Genomic DNA, 21,717 nt, shown 5'->3' with positions numbered 1-21,717 from the left:
TTAATTTTTGTATTTTTGGTAGAGACTGCAACCTCCACTTCCCGGGTTCAAGCGATTCTCCTGCCTTAGCCTCTCTAGTAGCTGAGATTACAGGTGTCTGTGACCATACCCGGCTAATTTTTGTATTTTTAGTACAGACAGTATTTCACCATGTTGGCCAGGCTGGTCTTGAACTCCTGACCTCAGGTGATCCGCCCACCTCGGCCTCCCAAAGTCCTGGGATTATAGGCATGAGCCACTGTGCCCAGCCTTTACTTTATTTTAGATTCCGGGGGTACATGTGCAGGTTTGTTACAAGGGTATCTTGTGTGATGCTGAGATTTTGGGTATGAATGATCTCATGACCTAGCTACTGAGTTTAGCACCCAGTAGGTAGTTTTTCAGCCCTTCATCTCCCTCCCTCCCCACTCTAGGAGTCTGTAACGCCTCTTCTTCCCATCTTTTTTTTTTTTTTTGAGACAGAATTTTCACTCCTGTTGCCCAGGCTGGAGTGCAGTGGTGCGATCTTGGCTCACTGCAACCTCCACCTCCAGGGTTCAAGCGATTCTCCTGCCTCAGCCTCCTGAGTAGCTGGGATTACAGGCATGTGCCACCATGCTCGAGTAATTTTTGTACTTTTAGTAGCGACTGCAACCTCCTCTTCCCGGGTTCAAGCGATTCTCCTGCCTCAGCCTCCCGAGTAGCTGAGATTACAGGTGTCTGTGACCATGCCCAGCTAATTTTTGTGTTTTTAGTACAGACAGGGTTTCATCATGTTGGTCAGGCTGGTCTCAAACTCCTCACCTCAGGTGATCCACCCACCTCGGCCTCCCACAGTGCTGGGATTACAGGCATGAGCCACCACGCCTGGCCTGTTGTTCCCATCTTTATGTCCATGAGTACCCTGTGTTTACCTCCTGCTTATAAGTGAGAACATGCGGTATTTGGCTTTCTGTCTCTGTATTAATTTACTTTGGAGAATGGCCTCCGGCTGGATCCAAGTTGCTGCAAAGGACATGATTTCATTCTTTTTCACAGCTTTGTACTATTCCATGGTGTCTATGTACCCCATTTTATTATTTTTTATTTTTATTTGTTTATTTATTTATTTTTTGAGACAGAGTTTCGCTCTTGTTGCCCAGGCTGGGGTGCAGCGGCATGATCTCGGCTCACTGCAACCTCCGCCTCCCGGGTTCAAGCGATCCTCCTGACTCAGTCTCCCAAATAGCTGGGATTACAGGTGTCTTTCACCACGCCAAGATTATTTTTTGTATTTTTAGTAGAGAGGGGGTTTCTCCATGTTGACCAGTCTGGTCTCGAACTCCTGACCTCAGGTGATCCACCTGCCTCGGCCTCCCAGACTGCTGGGATTACAGGCGTGAGCCTCTGCACCCGCCGGTCACGTACCCTATTTTCTTTATCCGATGCATGGTGGATAAGCACCTGGGTTGACTCTGTGTCTTTGCTATGGTGAATAGTGCTGTGATGAACTGTGAGTGTGGATGTCCTTTTACAGAACGATTTCCTTAATAAGGTGTTTTCAAACAGAAACACACATAATATAAAGCTACTTATTGATCTGTTGAAGAAAACACTGTGACCAGGGGCCTGAAGGATTCTTTTGATTTTTTTTTTTTTTTTTTTTGAGACAGGGTCTCTCTCTGTTGCCCAGGCTGGAGTGCAGTGGCATGATCTCGGCTCTCTGCAACCTCTGCCTCTCTGGTTCAAGTCATTCTCTTGCCTCAGCCTCCCCAGTAGCTGGAACTACAGGCCCCCACCATCACACCCAGCTAATTTTTGTATTTTTAGTAGAGACAGGGTTTCGCCATGTTGGCCAGGCTAGTCTTGAACTGCTGATCTCAAGTGATCCACCCGCCTTGGCCTCCCAAAGTGCTGGGATTATAGGCGTGAGCCACCAGGCCTGGCCTTTTTTTTTTTTTTTTTTTGAGACAGTCTCACTCTGTCACCCAGGCTGGGGTACAATGGCCCAATCTGGGCTCACTGCCACCTCCACCTCCTAGGTTCACATGCTTCTCCTGCCTCAGCCTCCCCAGTAGCTGGGATTACAGGCGTCCACCACCACGCCTAGCTAATTTTTGTATTTTTAAGGGACAGGTTTCGCTATGTTGGCCAGGCTGGTCTCGAACTCCTGACCTCAAGTGATCCGGCCCACCTTGGCACCTCAAAGTGCTGGGAATACAGGTGTGAGCCACCAGGCCTCGACTTTTTTTTTTTTTTTGAGACAGTCTCACTCTGTTACCCAGGCTGGAGTGCAATGGCCTGATCTTGGCTCACTGCAACCTCCAGCTCCCGGGTTCAAGTGATTCTCCTGCCTCAGCCTCCCCAGTAGCTAGGATTACAGGCATCCACCACCATGCCCAGCTAATTTTTGTATTTTTAGTAGGGACGGGATTTCGCTATGTTGGCCAGGCTGGTCTCGAACTCCTGACCTCAAGTGATCCACCCGCCTTGGCCTCCCAAAGTGCTGGGATTATAGGCGTGAGCCAGCAGGCCTGGTCTTTTTGTTTGTTTGTTTGTTTTTTGGGACAGTCTCACTGTCACCCAGACTGGAGTGCAATGGCCTGATCTTGGCTCACTGCAACCTCCACCTCCCAGGTTCAAGTGATTCTCCTGCCTCAGCCTCCCCAGTAGCTGGGACTACAGGTGTCCACCACCACACCCAGCTAATTTTTGTGTTTTTAGTAGGGACGGGATTTCGCCATGTTGGCCAGGCTGGTCTCAAACTCCTGACCTGAAGTGATCCACCCGCCTTGGCCTCCCAAAGTGCTGGGACTACAGGCGTGAGCCACCACACCCAGCCTGGCTTGAGGGATTGATTCTACCATGTCTTTTCCCTGAGCAGTGGTTCAATATTCATTCATTCTTTCTCAGTGACAGATCCTTCCCTCTCAACCTCCTCCCACGAGTGACAAGAACCAACCGTTGCTCCTCACAAGCAAGGATACCAGAGCTCGGAAACCTGGTTCTCATTCCTGAAACTGGCCGATCCCCCATGGGATGTTGAGGATATGAGCCTGCAGCGCCCGTGACCAACTGTGAGAGCCGGAATGATCAGTGCCCAAGGTCTGTTCGCTTGTCACAGTCTGGCTGTGTACCAAGAGATGTCGCAATGAGCACAGCTTTAGAGTCTAAAAGGAAACGTGTTCTGTTCTTTCTTTGTTTTGTTTTGTTATTTCAGAAGAAACAGGAATCGGTTCTGGAGCATGCCACGGCTCTTCACTGCTGGTTACAAAATTTAGAAAAATCATTCTCCCTCTTTTCCTCACTCTCAGGGTTCTCTTAAGAGTAGGGCCCCCTGCGAGCCAGTGATAGGGAGGTGGGCGGTTAACGGTGCTGCCCAGAGACACAGCGACGTTACTCCAGTGGGCTCAGCCCTGCACATGAGTGTTCAGACAGTTACAGAGGAAATGTCACAACACACTTCCTTTCCACCTAAGCCTGAGTCGCAACCGTGGTGGTGCGCTGGGAGGTGGAGTTTGCAGAATTTGCATTCGGAGACAGTCGTGCCAGCCGGTGGGCCACCCAGCGAAGCGGCCGCCTTTGCAAGGTTGCTGGACAGATGGAACTGGAAGGGCAGCCGTCTGCCGCCCACGAACACCTTCTCAAGCACTTTGAGTGACCACGGCTTGCAAGCTGGTGGCTGGCCCCCCGAGTCCCGGGCTCTGAGGCACGGCCGTCGACTTAAGCGTTGCATCCTGTTACCTGGAGACCCTCTGAGCTCTCACCTGCTACTTCTGCCGCTGCTTCTGCACAGGTGAGCCGCCGAGCTGGACTTTTATGCTTGTCCTGCACTGTCAAGGGAGAAGACAGGGTCGCTGGGAGGGTCCGTGTACGGTGAGAACATGGGGGAAGACGGTGCAAACTCCATGAGGCGTGTTCTCCTCACGCTAGAGCAGACCAGGAGTGCAAATTTCCTGGGAGGAAGACTTTGCACAGCCGCTTCGTCACTTAGGGGAGAAATGCTCAAATTTTCCAGGGCTGCAAGCCACCCTTCCTTTAATAACTCATTCCATGAACTTTCAGAGGCCGAGGTGGGCGGATCACGAGGTCAGGAGTTCGAGACCATCCTGGCTAACACGGTGAAACCCCGTCTCTACTAAAAATACAAAAATTAGCCAGGCGTGGTGGCAGGTGCCTGTAATCCCAGCACTTTGGGGGACCGAGGTGGGTGGATCATCTGAGGTCAGGAGTTCGAGACCATCCTGGCTAACACGGTGAAACCCCGTCTCTACTAAAAATACAAAAATTAGCTGGGCTTGGTGGTGGGCGCCTGCGGTCCCAGCTACTCGGGAGGCTGAGGCAGGAGAATGGCATGATCCCTGGAGGTGGAGCTTGCAGTGAGCAGAGATCACGCCACTGCACTCCAGCCTGGGCGACAGAGCGAGACTCTGTTTAGAAAAAAAAAAACAAAAAAAAACTCATTCCATGAAATGCGCCTCTCTTGAGGTTAACCTTAGAGAGGGTAAGCAGCTGCGGCTGCTGCACGTAACCCATTTACGCCTGAGATTGCAGTTTTTTCAATGTTTGCAATGAGACCTTGGCGATGACCTTGAGCCGTGGGATATAAATAACTCCCAAATGCTTAGCGTTCCAATAATGGAAGAGTAAGCATAAATTAAACGGGTTTTAAAGCCCTATGGGTGCCTGGATGAGCACGGTGGCCCCTCGTCACCCCCTCGGTGCCAGGGAGACCCCAGACCCGGGTCTCACGGCCACCTCAGACCTCATTTGTACAGGTCCGCTTAGAAACCCCAATTCCTTGGGTCTTGTCAGATCTGTCCCCTAAAAAGCTGAGAAAAGGCAGAGGGAGCTGCTCTGGGAATTTCAGGCCACACACAACAAGGCCTGCTGTGGCGCTTTAGGTCCCATTTCTATAAAGGGGAACCATGGTCACGTGGCTCTGTTCCCAAAAAGAAAAGGGTTTGTGTGTGTGTGTGTGTGTGTGTCTGTGTGTGTGTCTGTGTGTGTGTGTGTGTGTGTGGTTGTTTCTTCCCATGTTGTTATCTTTACGTAACGTGGATGAGAAGTCTGAAGCGCGAGAGCCCTAAGTGAAAACCGCTGAGGAGCTGAAGCCCGTGGGGAAGCAGGTGCACCTGACTGCGCCGTTCAATCTCTCCTTCCCGTTCCGTTCCTCCTTGCATAGCCCACTTGACTTTGGCAAGCAGCGCCAGATAGTAGCATATTTTGTGTTTACGGCGGTGACAGACGCCTGTAATCCCAGCACTTTGGGAGGCCGAGGTGGGTGGATCACTTGAGGTCAGGGGTTTGAGACCAGCCTGGCCAACATAGTGAAACCCCGTCTCTACTAAAAATACCAAAATTAGCCGAGTGTGGCGGCGGGCACCTGTCATCCCAGTTACTCGGCACGCTAAGGCAGCAGAATCACTTGAACCCAGGAGGCGGAGGTTGCGGTGAGCCAAGATCGCGCCACTGCACTCCAGCCTGGGTGACAGAGTGAGACTCTGTCTCAAAAAAAAAAAAAAAAAAAAAGGAATTATCCCACATTGGAAAAGCAGTACTTTCATTTAGGCACTGCCAGACAGGTGCCAGCGTCCTACGTGCACCAGGATGCTGCCCCTTTTCCCAAATATTGGCCTCCCCCACCCCACAAGAGGACAATTAGGTCAGAGGCTGAGAGAGGCGTGCATGGGACGTACGGGACGGTGGGCAACCCTGTGTTTGTAAAAGCACATGCTTTTCAGATGCCTTCTGCCAGGTCCCCGCCTGGCTGCACCATTCAGACTGACCAACCTTGGGGTGGGTGGGAGAGGTGAGGTCCCCTTGGAGAACCACAGAGACGCTCCCTCCCTCCAACCCTACCCACACTGCAGTTCTGAGTTTGTCCCTTAAAGTTCCAGGGAAGAAGCGATGGCTTAGGATTAACAACAGCAGGGTAGCTGTTGCCAGTGGTGCATACGTACAGCCCTGCGCTTGGAGAGGCCCTTTCCCCGGGCAGATGGCCCCCTCTCGTCTGAGTCTCTCTCCTGCGCCCTCTCCTTCAGCCCTGCCTCTCCATCAGGACCTCCTCATTGGCTGTGTCTGGGCATGGTCCCCAACCTCCCTCCCCCAGCCCCTCTTCTGTCCCTAGAGGCAGTGGGGTGGGCGGGGCAGGGTCCAGGGATCCCAGTGTCCACCTGGAACCCTGCTCTTCCTCTCTCGGGTTAGGAGATTCTGCACGGCCCCTGGGAGACACACAACACCCTGCCTACACCTGTTAAGGTACGGAAAGGGCGTGGGCGTGATGGGTGCCCCCAGGATCACCCCCAAGGACCAGACTGAGCTCAGGGGACTGCAGGGAGTGTTCTGCGGTTCACAATGTCGCTCCCTAGTGATGCAGTATCTGTGTTCACTTAGGATAAAGCAACAGATACACCTATCTGTGTGTGTGTATATATATATGTATTACATATATAATTATATAAATAATTATATATAAATAATATATAATATATAAATAGTAAGTATATAAATATATATGTAAATATATATAAATATATAATATATGTAAATATATTGTATATAAATATATATGTAAATATATATAAATATATAATATATGTAAATATATTATATATAAATATATATGTAAATATATTATATATAAATAATATACAAATATATATGTAAATAATAAATAGATAAGTATATAATATATGTAAATATGTAATATATAAATAATATATAAATATATAATATATTTAAGTTATAAATATATAACTATGTAATATGTAAATAATAAATAATATATGAATATATAATATATTTAAATAATACATATATAAGTATATAATATATAAATAATAAATAATATATAAATACATAATATATTTAAATAAATATAAGTATATAATATATAAATAATAAATAATATATGAATATATAGTATATTTAAATAATAAATATATAAGTATATAATATATAAATAATAAATAATATATGAATAATATATTTAAATAATGAATATATAAGTATATAATATATAAATAATATATAAATATAAAATATATTTAAATAATAAATATGTAAATAATAAATATGTAAATAATAATATATAAATATATAATATATTTAAATAATAAATATATAAGTATATAATATATTTAAATAATAAATATATAAGTATATAATATATAAATAATAAATAAAATATAAATATACAATACATTTAAATAATAAATATATAAGTATATAAGATATAAAGAATAAATAATATATAAATATACAATATATTTAAATAATAAATATATAAATATATAATATATAAATAATAAAAAATACATAAATATATGTTTAAATAATAAATATGTAAATATGTAATATATGAATATATATATATTATTTTTGGCAATCTCTTTTATTTGCCTCAAGAAAGCACACTCCTCAGAAGATTTTTTCAGAAGCTGATGTGTGTTTTTGTTGGTTTGTTTTACACTTTTTACTTCCATAGGTTTTGGGGAAACACGTGCCATTTGGTTACACGAGGAAGTTCTTTAGTGGTGATGTGTGAGATTTCAGGGTATCCGTCACCCAAGCAGTATACACTGAACCCGGTTTGTGGCCTTTTATCCCTCATCCTCTCCCCAATCTTTGCCCTGGAGTTCCCAAAGTCCTTTGTGTCATTCCTTTTTTTTTCTTTTTTCTTTCTTTCGTTTTTTTTTTTTTTTTTTTTTTTGAGACAGAGTTTCACTCTGTTGCCCAGGCTGGAGAGCAGTGGCGCGATCTCGGCTCACTGCAACCTCCTTCTCCCGGATTCAAGCGATTCTCCTGCCTCAGCCTCCTCCTGAGTAACTGGGATTACACGCATGTGCCACCACACCCGGTTAATTTTTGTATTTTTAGTAGAGACGGGGTTTCACCATATTGGCCAGGCTGGTCTCAAACTCCTGACCTTGTGATCTGCCCACCTCGACCTCCCAAAGTGCTGGGATGACAGGTGTGAGCCACCGCATCCGGCCGTTGTGGCATTCTTATGCCTTTGCATCCTCATAGCTTAGCTCTCACTTATGAGTGAGAACATACGATGTTTGGGTTTCCATTCCTGAGTTACTTCACTTAGAATAATAGTCTCCAATCTCATCCAGGCCACTCCAAATGCTATTCTTTTTCATGACTGAGTAGTATTCCATCATAAGTATATGTATATATATATACACATCATATACATCTATACATATATGTGTATATATACACATATACATCTATACATATATGTGTATATATACACATATACATATATACATATATGTGTATATATACACATCATATACATATATACATATATGTGCATATACACACATCATATACGTATATGTGTATATATACACATCATATACATATATGTGTATATATACGTGTGTGTATATATATGGCACACATATATATGACATATATGTGTGTGTGTTTGTGTGTGTGTCAGTGCCGGCATTTATATATATAAATACACCACAGTTTCTTTATCCACCTGTTGATTGATGGGCATTTGGGTTGGTTCCACATTTTTGCAATTGCAAATTGTGCTGCTATAAACATGCCTGTGCAAGTATCTTTTTCGTATAATGAGTTACTTTCCTCTAAGTATCTTTTTCATATAATGAGTTACTTTCCTCTACCTAGATACCCAGCAGTGGGATTGCTGGATCAAATGGTAGTTCTACATTTAGCTCTTTAAGGACTCTCCACACTGTCTTCTATAGTGGCTGTACTAGTTTACGTTCCCACCAGCAGTGCAGACGTGTTCCCTGTTCGCCACATCCACACTAGCATTTGCTATTTCTTGATGTTTTGATTGTGGCCATTCTTGCAGGAGTGAGGTGATGTCACATTCTGCTTTTGATTTGCATTTCCCTGATCATTCGTGATGTTGAGCGTGTTTTCATGCCGCTGAGCCGGGCTGGGACCTTGAGGACTGCGTTGATGCTTTTGTGCAGAGTGCCCTGCTCCAGGGGAAAGGTGCTGGTGCCCTGAGCAGAGGGACTTTGTGGAAGCAGGATGTGTGATTTTCTAGCCAAGAAGGTCTCCATGGGAGGGAGGAGTCCTATGAGACTCTCCATGGCTGGGCAGGGAGTGGCACAGACAGAAGCAGGTGGCAGGTGCCAGGCTGTGTTGGTTTCGGATGATGAGTTGGTGGAATGGCAATGTGCTGTCCAGGCTCCCCAGGAGTTCATGAGCTGGGGGTGGGCTGAGCATGCTAACCCCTCGGGCTGGGCACAGTCAGGCTGGGAGGGGGCCTGGACATTGTTTACGGGGGACCCTGTAAGCAGGGGGACCCCTGATGGAGAGGGCATGCAGGAAGATGGGGCAAGGACAGATCTTGGGATAGAACCATTCATGAGACACAAAAGGCACAGGCTGTCTGCTGGAGCACTAGTGACATTTGGGGCGGGGGAATTCCCTGTGGTGGGGCCATCCTGGGGATTGTAGGGTGTAGAGCAGCGTCCCTGGGCTCCAGCCACAAGGTGCCAGGAGCACCCACAGTTGTGACAATCAGAAATGTCTCCAGATATTACTCAATGTCTCCAGGTAGCAAAATCACTTGCTCATCTATCACTGTCTTAAAGATAGATGGGTGACAAATTAGATAGATAGATAGATAGATAGATAGATAGACAGACAGACAGACAGATAGATAGAATCGATAAATAGATACATAGAATAGATAGATATATACATACATACATAAATTAGATAGGTACATACATACATACATACATGGATAAATAGATTAGATAGATAGATACATAGATACATGCATAGATTAGATAGATAGATGATAGATTAAAGAGATATATAGATAGATGAGAGATAGAATAGACAATACATACATAGATATAGATAGATAATGGTGATGATAGACAGATAGATATATAGATAATAGAGATAGATAGAAAAGATACATACGTAAATTAGATAGATATATACATACATAGATTAGATAGATACATACATACATGGATAAATAGATTAGATAGATAGATATATAGATGCATAGATTAAATAGATGATAGATTAGAGAGATACATAGATAGATGAGAGATAGATAGATAGGATAGATAGATACACACATACATATAGATAGATAATGGTGATGATAGAGAGATAGATCAATCAGATAGATAGATACATAGATAGAATAGATACATACATATGTACGTACATAAATTAGATACATATATACATACATACATAGATTAGATAGGTAGATACATACATACATACATGGATAAATAGATTAGATAGATAGATACATAGATACATACATAGGTGCATTAATAGATTAGAGAGATAGATGATAGATTAGAGAGATACCTAGATAGATGAGCAATAGATAAGATAGATAGATATGTACATACATATAGATAGATGACAGATAGATAGATAGATAGATAGATAGATAGATAGATAGATAATGGTGATGATAGGTAATAGAGATAGATAGATACATACATAGATACATGGATACATAGATAGATAGATAGATAGATAGATAGATAGATAGATAGATAGATAGATAGATAGATCATACATACATACATACATACATACATACATAGATGCATAGATACATAGATACATGGATACATAGATGGATGACGGAGAGAGAGAGAGAGAGGAGAGATTCTCTATACTAAAAGCAGGATCTTTCCACGTCAACACTATAGACATTTGGGGCCGGGTGATTCTCTGTGGTGGGGCCATCCTGTGCAGTGTAAGGTATTGAGAAGCATCCCCGGGATCCACCCACCAGATGCCAGGAGCACCCCCACAGTTGCGACAACCAGAACTGTCCTCAGACATTACCCAGTGTGCCGTGATGAGAAAAATCACCCCTAGTTGAAACCACTGTCAAATGGTAGGCAGATAAATGATAGAGATGAGAGATAAATGCTAGAAAGGTATAGATAGATGACAGACAGAGAAGATTAATAAATAAATAGATATAGGTGCCAGAGAGCTAGATATGATATATAGATAAATTGATAAATGATAGATATGATAGATAGATATAGATGGATAGATAGTCACTAACAGAGACTCTCTCATGCTCAGGCAGGGTGTCAGCCTCAGCACTGCTGCCATGTAGGGCTGGAGGATTCTCTGTGTTGAGCCTATCCTGTGCACTGCAGGGCACTGAGCATCTTCCCAGGCTCCACCCACCACGCCCCAGGAGTACACCCTCCAGTTGTGACACCCCAAACTGCCCAAGATATAGACAAGCATCCCCACTGGAACAGAATCTCCCGCAATTCTGAACCACAGGGTGAGAGGCAGGCAAGATAAGACAAGATGATCCTTCCAGAGACCTGGAAGGAGAAGCAAGATCATGTCCCATCCCCCAGGTCTCAGGGAGAGAATGGGCTGGGTCAAGGGACTCTGGATCACTTCCTTCCATTTCTCCATCTCCCAATGTGCTGTATGCATGCTCTTGTTACTATAATAAAGTAAGTAGAATTGAAGAGACTCTGTCGTTACAAGCCACACATGTGTAGATTAAGCAGATATTCCCTGTGCAGGTCAGGTCTCAGGGGAAATGGAGGATTTATTCTCCACCTTTCCAAGACCAAGGGCCCCGCTGTGTGTACGTGTTATTCTCATCAAACATGCTTATCTGCCCGAGGACTAAATGCTGGCTTCCACATGTGACATTTTTACTTGCAAAACTGGATCAATGGGGAGCGTCATTTATACTGTCCCATGCAACAAAGGGAACTGAAAAAGTGCAGGAATGAGGAGACTCAAATCCACGCACATTCAGAGACTCCAATCCACACTCAAAGAGACTCAAATCCAACTCATTCAAAGAGACTCAAGTCCACACTCATTCAAAGAGACTCAAATCCACACTCATTCAAAGAGACTCAAACCCACACGCAATCAAAGAGACTCAAATCCATACTCATTCAAACAGACTCAAGTCCACTCATTCAGAGACTCAAACCTACACGAATTCAAAGAGACTCAAATCCACACTCATTCAAAGAGACTCAAGTCCACAATCATTCAAAGAGGCTCAAACCCACACGCATTCAAAGAGACTCAAATCCACACTCATTCAAAGAAACTCAAATCCACACTCATTCAAAGAGACTCAAATCCACACTCAATCCAAAGACCAGAGCCAGCCTCTTGGAAGCACTTGCTCCTCCGGGCTTCCCTGGGACGTTTAAAGTGGTTTTGAAGATGTCGTATGAGGATGAATGCAAGACTTTGAGTTCACACGGTGCTGACTGGCAGCGCCTGCTGCTCAGAGCTGTGATGGCCTCCTCAAGGGGCAGTTGTGCAGCAGTAGCTCTGATGGAATCTCCAGGAACCCACTCTCCAGCAAGGAGCCCTGTCACATGCATACCTGCATGAGCCTCTCAGCCAGTGGTTGAAATGGGCATGTTGCAGACAGCCTCTCTGTGAGATGCAATAGATGAAACCTGAGGCTCAGTGAAGCTGGAGGCCTCCCAGGCACTAGCTGCTCAGTGAAGGCGCTGTTGTCCATCTACAGTGTCCATATGTCCATCACAAGCTCTTGGCATGAACACAGGAAACTTCTAGGATACTCAGGCTATTACCCTGGGGTTGGAGGCATTCTGTCTCCAGGTATTTATTTATCACTCATCTGTTCTTGGGGTGGAGGAGAATGAGACTACTCCTGCACTCAGGACAGGGACAGACCAGCAGGTGGCCACACGTGGAATAGAAACAGGAGATACCCCTTCAGTCTCAGCCACAGGGAATGAATGAGCAGGGTCCCTGTAGGGGCTGTGACTTTGTAGATGAGAGACCAGAATAGATTAACATGGCCTCAGTACTGTTTGTTGGATGGTTGAATGGATGGCTGCATAAATAGATGGGTGAATGAATAAATGAATGAATGAGTGAATGAGTGGATTAGTACATTAGTGAGTGGATGGATGGATATGTAGACAGGTGAATGAAGAGTGGATGAATGGATGAATGGATGGATGGATGGATGGATGGATAGATGAGTAAATGGATAAGGAATGAATGAGTGGATGAATGAATGAATGAAGGGATGATTGGATGGATGAATGAATGAGTAGATGAATGAATAAATGGATGGATGGATGAACAGATGGATAGATAGGTGGATGAATAAGGAATAAATGATTGAATGAATAGATACATGAATGGGTGAATGATAGTGGGTGTATTGATAAATGGGTGGATGACTGAATGGATGGATTGAAGGATGAACGGATGGATGGATGAGTGGATGGATAAGGAATAAATGAATGAATGAATAGATAAATGAATGAGTGAATGAATGGATCATGAATAAATGAATGGGCAAATGAATAGTGGATGTATGGATAAGTGGATGGATAAACGGATGGATGGATGGATGGATAGATGAGTGGATGGATAAGGAATGAATAAGTGGATGAATGAATGAATGAGTAGATGAATGAATAAATAGATGGACGGATGAACAGATGGATAGGTAGGTGGATGGATAAGAAATGAATGAATAGGCTGGGCGCGGTGGCTCACGCCTGTAATCCCAGCACTTTGGGAGTCTGAGGTAGGCGGATCACCTGAGGTCAGGAATTTAAGACCAGCCTGGCCAGCGTGGTGAAACCCCGTCTCTACTAAAAAATACAAAAATTAGCCAGGCGTGGTAGTGGGCGCCTGTAATCCCAGCTACTTGGGAGGCTGAGGCAGGAGAATCCCTTGAACCCGGGAGGCAGATGTTGCAATGAGCCAAGATCGAGCTGTTGCACATCAGCCTGGGCAACAGGAGTGAAACTCGGTCTCAAAAAGAAAAGAAAAGAAAAGAAATGAATGAATAGATGAATAAATGATTTAGTGAATAAATAGATGCTGAATGAATGCGTGGGTAAATGAATGAGTGAATTCATCGATGCATGAATAAACACATGGATAAATGAATTAATGGATGGATGAGTAAGTAAATGGATGAATGAATGAGTAGATGGCTGTATAGATGGATAGATGGATGAATTGGATGGATGGATGGATGGATGAATGCTGAATAAGTGGATGGATAAGGAATGAATGAGTGGATAAATGAGTGGATGCATAAATGAATTACTGAATAAATGGGTGAATGATTAAAGGCATAAATGAATGAATGGATGAATGAGTGAGTTTTGGATGGATGAGTGGTGGATGCATCCATCCATCCATGCATGGATGACTGAATGGATGGATGGATGGATAAATGGATGGATGGATGAGTGGCTGGATAAGGAATAAATGAGCGAATGAATGAATGAATGAATGAATGGATGCATGAATAAATGAATGGGTGAGTGAATAGTGGGTGTATTGATAAATGGATGGATGACTGAGTAGATGGATGGATGGATGAATGAATGGATGGGTGGATGAGCGGCTGGATAAGGAATGAATGAATGAGTGAATGAATGGATGCATGAAAGAATGGGTGAATGAATAGTGGATGTATGGATAAATGGATGGATGGATGAACAGATGGATGGATGAGTGGATGGATAAGGAATGAATGAGTGGATGAATGAATGAATGAATGAGTGAACGAATGGATTCATGAATAAATGAATGGGTGTCTGAATAGTGGGTGTATTGATAAATGGATGGATGACTGAGTAGATGGATGGATGGATGAATAGATGGATGGATGAGCGGCTGGATAAGGAATGAATGAATAAATGAATGAGTGAGTGAATGGATGCATGAATAAATGAATGGGTGAGTGAATAGTGGGTGTATTGATAAGTGGATGGATGACTGAATGGATGGATGGATGGATGAATGGAAGGATGGATGAGTGGATGGATAAGGAATAAATGAATGAATGAATAGATGAATGAGTGAATGAATGGATGCATGAATAAATGAATGGGCGAATGAATAGTGGATGTATGGATAAATGGATGGATGGATGGATGGACAGATGGATGGATGAGTGGATGGATAAGGAATGAGTGAGTGGATGAATGAACCGATGGATAAATGAATGAGTGAATGAATGGATGCATGAATACATACATGGATAAATGAATTCATGGGTGGATGGATGGATGAATGGATGAATGGATGGATGCATGATTGAGTCAATAGGTGAATAGACGGATGAAACAAGAAAGGAGCTGATTTCCAGTCAATTGCCCCGAATTAATGCATACTGTTTCTGAGGCTTTGGGGAGAATCTTTCCTGCGTCTCTCCAGCTTCTGATCCTCTGCCATCCTTGACGTCCCTGGGCTTGGGAATGCCTCCCTCCAATCTCTGCCTCTGTCTTCACACAGCAATCTTCCCTCTGTGCATGTCTGCGTCCCAGTCTCTTCTTAGAAGGACCCCAGTCCCATAGGATTAAGTCCCCACCCAAATGCAGTATGATGTCATCCTAACTTACACCTTAATCCCATCTGCAAAGATCCTATTTCCAAATAAGGTCCTATATTCACAGGTACCTATGTTGAGGCTTTGAATGTGTCTTTCAAAGGGATGCAATCCAACTCAAAACACTCTCCAAACAAATTCTTCACAAAACACTGAGCTCCTTGGCCTAATCAGAGGAGGAGAGAGGATTTATTGCACCAATAGGGATTTTGGGGGGTCCCCACTCAAACCCTCTGCACTGCTGTGGAGCACAACTCCCTGCAAGGTGACAGACCCTGGCTACAGGACTATGAGAGGGTGAAGAAGCTGCCCCCACCCTGAGACCACCTTCTTGAGCAGCTGAATGGACACAGACCCTCACTGTAGACAGGTGAATGAATGAGTGGATGGATGGGTGGGTGGATGGATGGATGGATGGATGGATGGATGGATAGATGGATGGATGGATGAGTGGATGGTTGAATGGATGAGTGGATGGATGGATGGATGGATGGATGGATGGATGGATGGATGGATGAGTGGATGGATGAATGGATGAGTGGATGGATGGATGGATGGATGGATGGATGGATGGATGGATGCATGGATGTATGGATGGATGGATGAATGGATGAGTGGATGGATGGATGGATGGATGGATGGATGGATGGATGAATGGATGGATGGATGGATGGATGTATGGATGGATGGATGGATGAATGGATGGATGGATGGATAGATGGATGAATGGATGGATGGATGGATGGATGGATGGATGGATGGATGCATGCATGGATGGATGGATGGATGGATGAATGGATGGATGGATGGATGGATGGATGCGTGGATGTATGGATGGATGAGTGGATGAATGGATGGATGGATGGATGGATAGATGGATGAATGGATGGATGGATGGATGGATGGATGGATGCATGCATGGATGGAGGGATGGATGGATGGATGGATGAGTGGATGGATGGATGGATGGATGAATGGATGGATGCATGGATGGATGAGGAATGAATGAGCGGATGAATGAGTGAATAAAGGGATGAGTGGATCCGCAGAAGAGAGGGGGGTAAGCAGCTGGCAAGTGTGACAAGCCTACTGTGTACAAAGGGACATTCTCAATGCTCCCCCCACACCATCAAACTCTTGAAACAACCCTGAGTACAAGACCCAATTCTACCCCATCGCTACATTGCAGATGAGAAAATCAAACAGGAACGGGGTTACGGGGAGACGTGTAGACACTCCAATGCCAAAAAACTCAGTCACCAAAATAAATACTGCTGTTTTATTTGTTTTAATTTATTGAGGTGAAATTCACATAACAAAATTCACCATCTTTGCCGGGCACAGTGGCTCATGCCTGTAATCCCAGCTCTTTGGGAGGCCAAGGCAGGTGGGTCACTTGAGGTCAGGAGTTCCAGACCAGCCTGGCCAACAGGGTTTTTTAGTGAAATCCTGTCTCTACTAAAAATACAAAATTAGCCGGGCGTGGTGGTGCGGCACCTATAATCCCAGCTACTGGGGAGGCTGAGGCAGGAGAATCGCTTGAACCCGGGAGGCGGAAGTTGTGATGAACACAGATCGTGCCACTGCACTCCAGGCTGGACGACAGAGGGAGGCTCCGTCTCAAGAAATAAATAATAATAATAATAAATTTACCATCTTCAATACAACGCAGTGGTATTTAGCTCGTTCAGAGTGTTGTACAATCATCACCTCTGTGTACTTCCAATACATTTTTATGACGCTCAGAAGGAGACCTGTACCTATTTGCAATCGCTCCCACTTCTCCCTTCCCTCCTCCCTCTGGCAATCACAAATCTGCAATATTTTTCAGCCTAAATGGGAAGAAAGTATTGATACCGCTACAATATGGATGAACCTCAAAAATTCTATGCTAAATGCAAGAATTGTGAAACTCAGAGAATATTGGGGACCAGGGAGATGATTAGGGACCAAGGAGACGATTAGGTACCAGGGAGAATATTGGGGAACAGGGAAGATTTTAGGGACTAAAGTGACACCCTTTGAGAAAGCTCTGCTGACATCCCCATTTTGCTTAGGGGAAACTGAGGGACACAGAAAGGAAGGCACACCCTCACCTGGCTGGGGCATTACCTCCAACTGCACCAGCCACAAAGGTCACACCCTTAACTGCTACTCCAAACTATTTGCTATATCTTTTTTTTATTTTTTTCAATTTTTGTTTTATTTATTTATTTATTTATTTATTTATTTATTTATTTATTTTTGGCAGTGGGGGATGGAGTCTCTCTCTGTCGCCCAGGCTGGAGTGCAGTAGTGCAATCTCGGCTTTCTGCAACCTCTGCCTCCCGGGTTCAAGTGACTCTCCTGCCTCAGCCTCCCGAGTAGCTGGGATTATAGGCATGTGGCACCATGCCCAGCTAATGTTTGTATTTTTAGTAGAGATGGGGTTTCGCCATATTGGACAGGCTGGTCTCGAACTCTTGACCTCGAGTGATCCGCCTGTCTTAGCCTCCCAAAGTGCTGCGATAACAGGTGTGAGCCACCACGCCCGGCCTTAATTTTTATTTTTAGGGGCAGAGTCTTGCTCTGTTGCCCAGGCTGGAGTGCAGTGACTTCATCATAGCTCACTGCAGCCTCTAACTCCTGGCCTCAAGCAATCCTTCCACCTCAGCCTCCCAAGTAGCTGGGATTACAGGCACTGACCACGCCCGGCTAATGAAAGTGTCTTGCTATGTTGCCTAGGCTCATCTTGAACTCCTGGCCTGAAGCCACTCTCCTGCCTTGGCCTCCCAAGGTGCTGGGACTAGAGGCATGAGACAACGTGCCTGGCCAGTGTACTATAATTATCGCATCTTGGTTGTTGAATCTCTGTGCGTGCACGACGATTCCGAGCCTTGTCATCTGAGGATTGCATTTAAAGTTACAATACACACGTGTGTGGGAGGTGAGGAAAATATTCTGAAACTACATCGAGGTATTGGCTGCACGGAGGCATGAATGCAATAAATCCCCCTGAGGTATTCCGTTTACAATGATTGATTTCATTATGTAAACCTCACCTTTTTTTTTTTAAGCGAGAAAAAGAGGGCGGGGCATGGTGGCTCACGCCTGTCATCCCAGCACTTTGGGAGGTTGAGGCGGGTGGATCACCTGAGGTCAGGGGTTCGAGACTAGCCTGGCTAACATGGTGAAACCCCCGTCTCTACTAAAAATACAAAAAATTAGCTGGGCATGGTGGTGCATGCCTGTAATCCCAGCTACTCGGGAGGCTGAGGCAGGAGAATCACCTGAACCCGGGAGGCGGAGGTTGCGGTGAGCCGAGATCGCACCATTGCACTCCAGCCTGGGCAGCAAGAGCAAAACTCCATCTCAAAAAAAAAAAAAAAAAAAAAAAAAGAGAGCGAGAGAGAAAGAGAAAGACATAAGAAAAAATAACCATGCAATACCCCTTGTCTCACTTCCTCATTCTGGGCTATAAACACTCTTCGCGGGACCCTTTTCGGGCTGCACAGGAATTAGGAGGTTGTCCGTCACGCTCACCGGAAGCAAAGGAAGGGGAGTTTCTGAAACCTCCACCAAATACCACCAAATACCCAGCTGAGGTGCGGCTGACTGGCTTCCTTCACCCCATGCAACTCACTTCTAAGTAAACACACCTTCCTTTGCCGTTTCTAAGCACTCATGCAAATGACTGACGGTCCACATTCCTGCAGGCAGGGTCCAAGTGAATTGACTTCCTGCAGACAAATGCAGAGTGTCCTCCGGCCTGTGACTTTGATGCCAAGGTTCCTGCTGATGCCAGGGTGACAGTGGTTGCAAGCCGTGTTCCATGCTGGGTACTCAATGATCTTAGGGTTTGTCCATACTGGGACGGATTAAAGTGGAGCATAAGGATTACAGTGGACCATAAGAGAGGGGTGATGGATCAGAGAGAATATTGGGGACCAGAGATATTATTGGGGACAGAGAGAATATTAGAAATCAGAGAGGATAAAGGCCGGGCGCGGTGGCTCATGCCTGTAATCCCAGCACTTTGGGAGGCCAAGGCGGGCGGATGACGAGGTCAGGAGATGGAGACCATCCTGGCCAATATAGTGAAACTCCGTCTCTACTAAAATACAAAAATTAGCTGGACGTGGTGGAGCATGCCTGTAAACCCAGCTCTGTAATCCCAGCTACTCAGGAGGCTAAGGCAGGAGAATCCCTTGAACCAGAGAGTTGGAGGCTGCAGTGAGCTCAGATCGCACCGCTGCAGTCCAGCCTGGCGACAGTGTGAGACTCTGTCTCAAAAAAAAAAAAAAAAAAAGAAAAGAAAAATCAGAGAGGATATTGGGGAGCAGGGTGATGATTGGGGGCCAAGGAGATGATTGGGGGCCAAAGAGGTGATTGGGGACCAGGAAGATAATTAGGTACCAAGGAGATGATTGGGGATCAAGGAGATTATTGGGGACAAGGGAAATTATTGGGAACCAGGGACATTTGGGGGTACTATGGAGATTATTGGGGACCAGAGACAATATTAGAAATCAGAGAAAATATTGAGGATGAGGGAGATTATTGGGGATCAGGGAGATTATTGGGAGACAAGAAGATGATTGAGGACCAGAGATAATATTAGAAATCAGACAGAATATTGGAGACCAGGGAGATTATTAGAGAACAAAGAGATGACTGAGGATCAGAGAGAATATTGGGATCAGAGAGATTATTGGGGATCAGGGAGAGGATTGGGGACCAGAGAAATTATTAGGGACCAATGAGATAATTGAGGATCGGAGATAATATTGGGGATCAGAGAGATTATTGGGGATCAGAGAGATGATTGGGGACCAGAGAGAATATTGGGGATCAGGGAGATTATTAGAGGCTAAGAAGATGATTGGGGACCAGAGAGAATATTGGGGACCAGAGAGATTATTAGAGACCGAGGAGATGATTGGGGATCAGAGAGAATACTTGGGACCAGAGATAATGTTGGAAACCAGGGACATTATTGGGGTTAAGAAGATGATTGAGGACTAGAGACAATATTAGAGATCAGAGAGAATATTGGAGACCAAGCAGATGACTGGGGACCAGAGAGAATATTGGGATCAGAGAGATTATTGGGGATCAGAAAGATGATTGGGGACCAGACAGATTATTAGGGACCAAGGACATAATTGAGGAGCACAGAGAATATTGGGGACCACAGAGATTATTGGGGGTCAGAAAGATGATTAGGGACCAGAGATTATTAGGGACCAAGGTGATAATTGGAGATCAGAGAGAATATTGGGGACCAGAGAGATTATTGGGGACCAGAGAGAGATGATTGAGGACCAGAGAGATTATTAGGGACCAAGGTGATAATTGGAGATCAGAGAAAATATTGGGGACCAGAGAGATTATTGGGGACCAGAGAGATGATTGGGGACCAGAGAGACTATTGGGAACCAGGGAGATTTTTGGGGACCAGAGAGATTATTAGAGATCAAGAAGATGATGGGGATCAGGGAGATTATTAGGGACCAAGTATATGATTGGGGATCCGAGAAAATATTGGGAACTAGGGAGATTTGGGGGAGATCAGAGACAATATTAGAAATCAGAGAAAATCTTGGGGACCAGGGAGATGATTGGTAACCAGAGAGATGATTAGGGACCAAGGGGATGATTGTGGATCAGAGAGAATATTGGGGAACAGAGATAATATTAGAAACCAGGGAGGTGATTGGGAGCCAAGAAGATAATTGGGGATTAGAGACAATATTAGAAATTGGAGAGAATATTGGAGACCAAGGAGATGACTGGGGACCAGAGAGAATATTGGGACCAGAGAGATTACTGGGAATCAGAAAGATGATTGGGGACCAGAGAGATTATTGGGAACCAGAGAGAATATTGGGATCAGAGATATTATTGGAGATCAGAGAGAATATTGGGGAGCAGGGAGATTATTGGGGACCAGAGAGAATATTGGGGACCAGAGAGAATATTGGAATCAGAAAGATGATTGGAGACCAGAGAGATTATTAGGGACCAAGGAGATAATTGGAGATCGGAGAGAATATTGGGGAGCAGGGAGATTATTAGGGACCAGAGAGATTATTGGGGACAAGAGAGAACATTGAGACTCAGAGAGAATATTGAGGCTCAGAGAGAATATTGAGATCTCAGAGATTACTGGGGATCAGGGAGGTGATTGGGGACCAGAGAGATTATTAGGGACCAAGGAGATGATTGGGGATCAGAGAGAATATTGGGGAGCCGAAAGATTATTGGGGACCAGAGGAATATTGGGGATCAGAAATATTACTGGGGACCAGAGAGATTAGGGACCAAGGAGATGATTGGGGACCACAGAGAATATTGGGGATCTGAGAAAATACTGAGGACCAGGG

The 21,717-nt window shown here is 44.7% G+C and overlaps 1 protein-coding gene across 6 annotated transcripts in view; it reads left to right on the top strand.

The window, feature by feature from the left end:
• The window catches only part of P2RY8 (P2Y receptor family member 8), a 74,605-nt gene continuing 56,377 nt past the window's right edge, over positions 3,490-21,717 (top strand). For all 6 annotated transcript variants that reach the window (NM_178129.5, NM_001424186.1, NM_001424188.1 and 3 more), the window contains exon 1: positions 3,490-3,754. The gene's annotated coding sequence lies outside the window, so the exon portion shown is untranslated. The remainder of the gene's footprint in view (positions 3,755-21,717) is intronic.

Source organism: Homo sapiens, chromosome X, assembly GCF_000001405.40.
Source record: "Homo sapiens chromosome X, GRCh38.p14 Primary Assembly".
NCBI lineage: Eukaryota > Metazoa > Chordata > Mammalia > Primates > Hominidae > Homo > Homo sapiens.
Note: the sequence above shows the minus strand (reverse complement) of the source record. Positions and strands in the feature narration are given on the sequence as shown.